The sequence below is a fragment of the Homo sapiens genome, chromosome 13, assembly GCF_000001405.40.
Source record: "Homo sapiens chromosome 13, GRCh38.p14 Primary Assembly".
Classification (NCBI taxonomy): Eukaryota; Metazoa; Chordata; class Mammalia; order Primates; family Hominidae; genus Homo; species Homo sapiens.
The window spans coordinates 71269646-71280023 of record NC_000013.11 but is presented as its reverse complement, the minus strand read 5'-3'; the positions used below and the strand labels follow the sequence as shown (position 1 = coordinate 71280023).

Here is a 10378-nt window from a genome sequence, read left to right as displayed (position 1 = left end):
TTTAATAACATATACTTTTAAAATAATAAAAATATTGTTGTACATGTGACTGTTGATTTTGCTTTGTTTATTTTTTTTTGAGACAGAGTCTCACTCTGTCACCCAGGCTGGAGTGCAGTCGTGCGATCTCAGCTCACTGCAAGCTCTGCCTCCCGAGTTCACACCATTCTCCTGCCTCAGCCTCCCAAGTAGCTAGGAATACAGGCGCCTACCACCACGCCCGGCTAATTTTTTGTATTTTTAGTAGAGACTGGGTTTCACTGTGTTAGCCAGGGTGGTCTCGATTTCCTGACCTTGTGATCCGCCCGCCTCAGCCTCCCAAAGTGCTGGGATTGCAGGCGTGAGCCACTGTGCCCGGCCCTGAATTTGCTTTTTAAACAAATATTTACTATCTGTTGATATTGACAAAGTAACAACTTGGCCATAGAGATCGGAAAATATAATATTGAAAAGAGAAAGCAAGTTATATAATATTTATACAATATTGTACTCCAAAATAAGAAGAAAACAGGACATCAGAGCTGGAGAAAAAGGGAAAACTTGCAAGAAATATTTTGGATCAATAATTCCAGGAATTGATATGTATTAAGTTATATCTAGGGTAAATATAAAATAGGATCTATATACATTAAACATGCACCCAAATATAAGGTGAATTCTGAAATGATAGAGCACAAAATATTTATGATAAGTTTCTGAAAATAGAACAATGTCATATGCTTGCCTCAAAATTACCTTTAATTTGTTATAAACTTTCTGGTAACAGAATTCTTGGTCAATAAAATGAAAGTTAATAAGGAATGGAGAAAGGCAAAATTTTCAGAAACTTAATAATATTTAGCAAGATTTTGGGAAGGGTCCTAGTCATGTTTTCAGTTGGCCACATGAATAAAGAAGAATTCAGTATTTTGTAAGATTTAGGCCCACCAAACCTGCATTTGTTTCAGAAACAGGTATAGGGAGAGAGAAATAACAAGTGAGCATGTAAAAACCTTGCAAATATATTAGGTTTCTTAAAAATAATAAAGCCGTTAGACTAAACAAAAATATAAATAACATTACTAAGTATAGTTCAAAGAATCTTTTGCTTGCTAAAAATATTTCATAATGTCTCCCTTCTGCAATCTCAACAAAATGTTTGTAAATTGGTTTTACATTGTTGCAGAGAATGTGCATTTTAAAGTCATTCTTTCCATTTTCTCTGTGTCTAATCCTGAATCCAAACATTCAATGCCTTCCTGATTTTATGGCCTGGTTTTGTTGACTCTTCTCTCCGGGGTCTCACTGTGATCCCAAAACTGCCGAGTAACTTGGATGCTTAAGATGAAAAAAGCTTTGTTTAAGCTTTATTTAACCTACTCAGCTCACCAGAGTTGGATAGGCATTTCTCAAACACTCTTTTCAATAAACTCAATAAAAAGGCTTATATAGCCCTCAAGCAATTAACAGTAACTTTATGCCAGCCTACATAAGAATCCAATAGAGAACTGTAATATGGCTCTGTCAGGACATTTTACACATGCCCCTACACACTGTATTCTAACACATGCAGGAGAAAAGTTCTGATGGGTTTATTTTGATTCAACTTTCTTTTTGTTTTGTAAAACTTAGTGGCAAAAATCATCATTCTAATTTTATTCTATTGTCTCTTCTCTAATATATTTTCTCTCTCTCTCTGTCTCTCTCTCTCCCTCTCTCTCTGTCTCTCTTTTTGTTTCTAATAGATAGAGCTCACAAACTTTGTATAATTCAAGAGTAATCTGGGATGCTCCCTACCTTGAACTTGATCAAAATATGTTTTCATTGTTAGTCAGGATCAGATTTGCCCACTTCAAAAAAAATTTCAATGACAGAGTTTGATGTTAATAAGCATAGGTTCAAGAATTAAGTGGTATTACAGTGTCAAGAGAATATATGAGGTGTGTTGGAAACAATGGTATTTCCTATGTGAGTGCCTCAGAGAAGGGTGACATAGTTATTAGAAATTCCAAGGCCTGGTCCTCTTGGAGTTATACAACCCATAGGTTTCTTACCTATATATGGAAAAAAGTGTACATCTCTTTGGATGGAGGGAAGGCTTTGAAGATGTGACGGGAAGAAAGAGATATTATTTTAGTAGTATTTATAGAATTTTTGTCAAGCAAGTAACCCTTTTTTATAAACACATCAAAACAAATGTGTTTCATGATGAAGATGATCAGTCATCTTGAGTGAAGTAAAGCTAGGCAAAGAGAACACTTCTGCAGAAGTTAAAAGGAATTTCTTGAGGACAACAGAGAATGGATTGAAAGAAGGGGAACTCCGGAAATAGGTGGAAACAGGCAAGGTGTATGTTAGTGAGTGAAAAACTCCTGTAGATGAGAGGGGCCAAAAGACTTCAGAAAAGTATGCCTAATGCTTATAATATATTTGTTTACTCAAAAGGCCATGTAGTTCCCTCATCATCTCACACATTCTGTAAAGGTTGTGTGAACAATATTCTCAAATAATTAAAGAAAAACTGTTTTTCATAACTGAGTTGACATGGTATGAAAAGAAGATAATGTATCTTCTAAAGGCAAAATACAAATTTGATCAAATTTAGCAAAACTAGAAAATAGAGCAAGAAGTGGAAATAAGAGCACATGTATTTGGAAACTTACAGACATTTTGGAAATGAAGTGGTATCAGAAATGGGATAGATAATGATCAATTTTATTTACAGATAAAAAACGATTATGCCCTAAATCAAAACCTCTGTAAAGTATGATGTCAACCAAAATAATGTTTGTTAGCTGTTGTAACAGATAACCCCACATTTTAGTGGCTCAATACAATAAAAGTCCATTTTTAAAATTTCACCACAGTTCAAACTGGGTTGGGAGGCTTTTGGGGTGGCTTTTTTGGTAATCAGTGACTCAAAGACCCTGAAGTCCTTCCATGAGGTGGTGTCTCTGCAACCTCAGCATCCTGAGATTTTGGTTATGTGAGTGACAGATCAAAAGACTAGAGAATATGTAACCTTTAATGAGTAGGCCTAGAGCATATACATCAGTTTTGCTTACATTCCATTAGCCAGAACCCAATTATATAGCCCTAACTAATGGTAAGTGAATATAGGAAAATGTTTTCCAGAGTGGCCTTCTGGTTTCTGCCACAGTAATGCCTACATTTATTGCTATATCAGTTGGAGTGAGAAAAAGAGAGGCTGGAGTTTGGGAGTACAAGAAGCTAAAAGATCCACTTGTTACAATTTCATTAAAAACATACTTTGAGTTTTGTGTTTCTAGCTTCTGGATTATAATGGACAGAGCTTAAGGTCCAAATTTTAGTTAATTCCTAAGGAAACCCATTTTTAAGCCTAAATACAGGTGTCAATTCACTTTAAAAATACGTAGATATTTTGAGGAATCTTTTCTAAAAGGCTAGCATGAGTGTTTCTCTAGCATGACAAGAGGTTGGAAGACAACATTGCTTTGAACACCAGTGGGACCAGTTGTAAGCCAGAAAGTAAGTGGGACACAATTGCCATATTGAGATTGGCCCATATCCCAATATACTAAATAAGTTCAGACTCACTAGCACAGTGGAAGTTAAGGTAAGAGATAGAAAGTATCTCTACTGTTTTCTTTCTTGGCTTTCTTTTAGACTAGTTAACTTTAGGCTAAGTGTATCTCTCTCTCTCTCTCTTTTTTTTTTTTTTTTTTGACAGAGTTTCTCTCTCGTTGCCCAGGCTGGAGTGCAGTGGCGTGATCTCGACTCACGGCAACTTCCGCCTCACGAGCTCAAGTGATTCTCCCGCCTCAGCCTCCTGAGTAGCTGCGATTACAGGCGCCCATCACCATGCCGTATTTTTAGTAGAGACGGGATTTCTCCATATTGGTCAGGCTGGTCTCAAACTCCCGACCTCAGGTTATCCTCCCTCTTCAGCCTCCCAAAGTGCTGGGATTACAGGCATGAGCCACCGTGCCCAGCCAGCTAAGTGTATCTCTTTTGTATGACCTAGCATAAGTTCCAATAAATAGATAATAAATACCAATATTTTTAGTTTTCCTACTATTTTTCATAATACTACAGATTCAAGAGCTATTCAATACTTCAAAGTATATCAGAAGACTGTTTACTCAAATGTTTACTGCCTTATAAAGTCTACTAATTCTGCAGCCTAGGATACTTAATCTCTCAAATTTATATCAGCTACTCACAAATTCCTTATTTTAGGATATCTTAATTGTGCCAACCCACTTCCCTTTTCCAGATTATTTATCAGTTATCATGTTTTTAGTTGCAAGCAACAGAGGACATATCTAAAATGGCTTCAGATTGGAATAGCTTTTTCTCACCTAATAAGCATTCCAGAGAGAGGTGGTTTCAAGGCTGCCACAAGTCTGAGTTATCCTCTCTAATATTAAGTTTTCTTCCCTCTTAATGAATTTGAATGGTCAGAGCAAATCTAAGCAGCACAGCTTCAGATTACAATATCAAAACAGAATTTGAGGAAATATATTTTCCCTTGGACCACATTTTTTTTTTTTTAATTAGAAAAGCTTCCCAGCAAGCCACCTAAGTCGCTGTCTGTGAAATTTCGTTGGCAATAGTTGAGTCATTTGTCCATCCCTTAGATGAAAAGGGGAAGGCAGAAAATATAAGCATTTTAACACTTTCAGTTTCTATAAGAAGAGGCAAAATCTCACAGCAAAGTGAGCTGTGAATTGCTTTTGGGTAAACAGATAACAGTGTCTGTCATAGCTCTTAAATGGATAACTATCAGATGGCATTTTGTTTCCTGATAGGAAGCTATGAACAGACAAAATTTCACCCAACAAGTGATTCAAATCACTTACGCTGCCTGCAGCTGAACGTTAATAAGAATGTCCATCATGATATACAAGGGACTGAACACCATCTTCTGCAGTTACCTAGCTGGTTTGCATATCTTCCTGTCCATGGTAGTAGTGAAATATAATCCTGCCTCGCTGTGTTTTAGACCATTGACTCTATTGGGTTTGTTAACTCCCTGATCATAATTTTAAGAAAATGCTTAAGTAACTTTGTCTAGAATAAGCATGCTTGAATTGCATTCTGAGAGATTAAGGTTTAGTTCAGTGTGGTGGACATCTGTCCTTGTTGGCTCCTTTTATTAGCATATTTGTCTCCCTTCTAGGCAATACCTGATTGCGTGTAGTCATGGTTAGAGGCAGTGGTCACATTCAGTAAGAAAGGTAGAGAAGTCAGATCTTCACTCTCTCCTGGCACATGTGGCCACTTACATGATTTAGAGTCAGTCTATCAAACTTTCTTTCCTGTGAATTTGAATCTTTAATGAGTGACATGCAAAAAAGGGAATGGTGAGCTGCCATATTTATTATAGTAGTTTGTGTGGAATCAGTAGAATTTAAGTGTGCTTGCTCTGATTTTTGTTTTCTGGCCTTCTTTTCCTGAGCGTTTTTAAAACGCTCTTCTCCATTTTTTGTTGTTGTTAATTATGTAAGCATCAGAGCATGCTTTCAATAAATTAAGATCTGTTGAGTTTTTGCTTACGTTAGATGAGGCAAATTCCTGTACTTGTATTTAAACCCCCAAACTGTTACAGTCATGTATTGATACTCAGCACCAGCCCCCAATCTGCAGCTTCAAGGGTGCTCAAATAATAAGTAGAAGTAGACCCAAGATTCAAATCCACACCAAAGTTCTGTGTTCTAAGAGATTAATAATTTCCTAGTAGGTTAAGAGATAGCTTAACTATATATAACTGGATAAGAAATATTCTAGGCCGGGCGCGGTGGCTCACGCCTGTAATCCCAGCACTTTGGGAGGCCGAGGCGAGCGGATCACGAGGTCAGGAGATCGAGACCAAGGTGAAACCCCGTCTCTACTAAAAATACAAAACGTTAGCCGGGCGTAGTGGCGGGCGCCTGTAGTCCCAGCTACTCGGGAGGCTGAGGCAGGAGAATGGCGTGAACCCGGGAGGCGGAGCTTGCAGTGAGCCGAGATCGCGCCACTGCACTCCAGCCTGGGTGACAGAGCGAGACTCCGTCTCAAAAAAAAAAAAAAAAAAAAAAAAAAAAAAGAAATATTCTATATTCTGTCTTTTTAGGTCCAAAGATTTACCCTCAAGATTCATTATGCTCCGAGGGATTGTGATTGTTAAGTGTGGAAATGACTGTATAGAGGAGCTCTGGAAAACAAAGTTATTTGGGAAACGAGAATAGTGCATAGACAGGAAAAAGGTATAAATATAGCCATGTTATTACATGTCAAGTTTACATGAGAATCAGACAGGAATACAAGAGAAAGAGACCTAATGCCAGCTAGCCTAATATCTCTATTCTATCAAAAAAAAAAAAAAAAAAAAAAAACAGTTTCAGGCACTGTGGAAGAACTTTGATGCATGCTAATTCATTTAAATTATCATTATCTAAGGCATGCAAAAGATTTTTAAAATGTCAGTTTAAAAATTTACAAAGTAGAAAATTAAGACTCATGTTTAACGACAGTTCCAATGCCATTTACTCTAACAAGAGGCAGATTGTAAAATAAAGCCCTTATCTATATACTCTCGGTCATGTTTTTGCCAGAATCCATACACTTCATTTCAAAATGGTCACCAATGCCCTGTTTTCAAAGAGAAGAAAAGGTTAGCTTCTTTTTTTCTCACACAAAAAGGCTAATTTCTGGCAAGATGACTGGATAAAATACTTTAATAGATTCATGTCAATACCGCAATCCAAAGGAAACTGAAAGCATAAATGTTTGATTTTAGAAATTAACTCTAACTACAACAAATTGAACTTAGAACAATTTTATTCATAAGTAGTTCAGGTTTCCCTAGCACATAGGATTAATTCTGAGTAATGATGTCCAATAAATTCTATGCAATTAATAGAGTTAGTACAGCTGGGATATTGGTACAAAATGTTACAACAGATGGAGGATGTGTATACTTTAAACAGAGGACAATTGGCAAGAAGAATAGTTAGTAAAAGCAACAGAAAAATATATAAACAGTGGTCCACTAATCATGTTAAGATGGAAAATAAACTGAACAGTCTTATTGATGTGTTAATGAACACTGGACTGGGGCAAAGATAAAATGTTTGTTCAAAGGAAAAGATTCTAGGAAAAATCAAGAGATTTATTATTGTTTTTAAACAAGATCTTTAGAGGTTAAAGAAAAAGTGCATTTTATGGACAGTCTCAAAATATAGGCCTAATTTCAAAAATAAAGTGATAAATGTAATATATGTGGTTATATATATATATAATATGCAATTATTTGTCTTATACTTGGTATTTCAGATTAGATATTAAAGGCTTATTTAAAGCTTTAGTCCAAATGAAGATTTTGCTATAAAAGTCAACTCAAGCACAATACGATTTAAACATATAAAATAAAGTTAGCTGAAATACAAAGCAGTTTTTAATCACTTGTTTGTAGTTCCTTTTTTTTAACCAAAAATGTTTTGCATAGACTTTTTGTCAATACTGTTTAAGGCATATTACATGTATCATTTAACCCTCACAATAACACTAAAGGCACATAATACATTCTTAACTTTTTTTTAAAGGTGAAAATACATGAACTAGAGTGGGCCTGGGTCACTGAGTTTGTAAATACTAGGATAGGAATCCAATACATTTTTCTAAGGTATAACTCTCATAATGGGTCTTACTATGTTTGCTCTGTAGAGGAAACACAGGACAAGGATCTAGGGCTCTAACTTAAACAATTACACCATTCTTAATAAATCACCTACACATTCAGATTAACAAGGTTGTTTTTTCAGTATAAGTCTATTGAATTAGTTGTCCCCTTCCAATTATTCGAAGTTCTCTTATAAGAGTTCTAAGTTCTCGAATAAGATCATAATACTTCTATAATTTTAGAAAAACAAAAGAAATAACTAATAGTCAAAAAATCCAGATGGCACTTAATAGTTGATTAACTAAGAGGCAAAATAATAAATACAATAGATGTTAATTGAGTCAAGAGATCATCTTGCTTAAGTTCAAGTAAATAACATAAAGAGGTATATAAACACATGATTTACTTGGAAAAATACAATTTTTACATTTGGTCCAAAAGAGATGGAAAAAGAAACTAAACAAATTCATTTATTGCCACTGAGTTTAAGAAAATAAAAAATAAAATAAAACCAAATTCATTACTCAAAAACAAATGGACAAGTTATACAATAGCTAATTAAAAAGCCCAATAGAACAAAACATCTCTGTAGATTAATTTTATAAAAAATATAAAGAACAGATCCTCATGCTATTTGAAACTTTTTCTTTTGAGACAAGTTCTCTCCCTGTTGCCCAAGCTGGAGAGCAGTGGCACAATCATAGCTCACTGTAACCTTGACATCCTAGGCTGAAGTGATCCTCCCACTTTAGCCTCCCAAGTAGCTGGAATTACAGTTGTGTGCCACTAAGCCTGGCTAATAAAAATAAATTTGTATGTGTGTAGAGATATCTTACTATGTTCCCAGATTGTCCCAAACTGCTGGCCTCAAGTGATCCTCCTGCCTAAGCCTCCCAAAGCACTAGGATTACAGTCATGAGCCACCATGCCTGGCCTTATTTGAAATTTTTAAGAGCACAGTGAATGAAGGACAAAAGGAACCTATAATCACTTTTTACAAATGCAGCATTCTATTTATATCCAAAGCTTACAATTAGAGTAACACACACAAAATTAGACTTATAAATGAGATATACATATATAAAAAAGAATTTTAAAAAGTATATCTGTGAATAGACTGTAGAGAATATTAATGTGAACAAATGGGATTTATATCAGAAATAGAAGTTTAGTTCAAAATTAGAAAATTTACTAAGGTATGTCAACATGACAAAATGTCAAGGCAATAAAATGATACTTTCTATGGATGCTGATAAGGCATTTGATAAAACTAAACATTAACACATGATTAAAAAGTGAATCTTGAAAATAAACATCCAGATTGTCTCTACAACATGACAGAAAATATGCCAGACAAAAAATCATCTTAAAACTTTTCTACTTAAGTCACGACCTTGAGAAGCAGGCCCACTATTATCATTATTATTCAAACATTTTCTGGAAGTATGAACCAATGCAATTAATCTACACAGAGTATAGAGAAATATGACACTTTTAAAGAAGAAGGCAAAATCCTTTTGCCAACAATATTTTATATTTCTGACAAAATACAATTATTTGAAAAAATAGAAACAAAAAGAAGTATGCACAGTGGCTACTTAAAAAGCAGTCATATATAAGCCAAAAATCAGTTAAAAAATGTAACTGAAGAAGAGTTTCCACTCACAGGAACAAGACATATATGTAAAACATCTTAGGGGAAAATAAGAACTTTGGAAGTGCTAAATAAATAAAACTTTTATGCTACTGAGGGTCTTTAATCAAGATTTTAAGACATATATCCCATTCATGGAAACACTCAATACTGTGAAGCTATCAATCTCTCTAATTAACATAGAATCAATTTCAAATAACAGCATCTCTTGAAAAATAGATAATCAATTTAAAAAGTGTGTGTAAAATAAACATTAGGGAATAATCATGAGAATTTTAATATACAATTAATCTATTTATTAAAATATATGTTAAAGTTACATCAATTAAAATAGTTTGATATTATGACATTAATTGACTAGTCTCTTGTCCCTTCAATCTATTTTGTACATCACTAAGAGGTTTAATTTGTCTTCAAATTAAGGAATCCACAAGCTGGTATATTTACTAAATGCACCAAATGATCTGTCCTCTAGGAAGTATTAGAGAAAGGCTAGCATTGGGTTCCATTTTGTGGATGTCATACAGGTTGTTAGCTTTCTGTTGTCATCTTCATCAGGGAATATAACTTAATTTATTAGGGTTAAACTTTTTAGTCAAAAACTCTTTCCAATTATTCTTCCCTGGAGTAACAGTTTCATCACCATAATTACATTTCAGTTGTTCTAGAAACTCTTTAATCACCAACAGTATATTTCTATTATGAGATACGGTTTCCTGAACTCATCCTTTATATTGCTTTACAGCCTTGATAAACGGAGATTTTACATAAGACTACAAGTAGGAGTAAGGAAGACAGTCACCTCAGCCAAGCACAGGGTGGTTTAGAACAGGAGTCCTGTCCGTGGCCTGTTAGGAACTCGGCCCACAGCAGGAGGTGAGTGGTGGGCAAGCAAGGGAAGCTTCATCTGCATTTACAGCCATTCCCCATTACTCACGTTACTTCCTGAGCTTCACCTTCTGTCAGATCAGTGGTGACATTAGATTTTCATGGGATCCCAAACCCTATTTTGAACTGAACAAGTGTGGGATCTAGGTTGTGCGCTCCTGTGAGAATCTAATGCCTGATAATGTGTTACTGTCTCCCATAACTCCCAAAAG

At 35.1% G+C, this 10378-nt stretch overlaps 1 annotated feature.

Annotated features, from left to right (window-relative positions):
- Window positions 1-198: a silencer, noted in NCBI's record as "fragment chr13:71853958-71854155 (GRCh37/hg19 assembly coordinates)". NCBI's record gives its function as "represses an EF-1alpha promoter that drives an FKBP-Casp9 reporter gene in an ReSE screen in K562 erythroleukemia cells {active_cell/tissue: K562}" and the evidence as "EXISTENCE:reporter gene assay evidence [ECO:0000049][PMID:32094911]".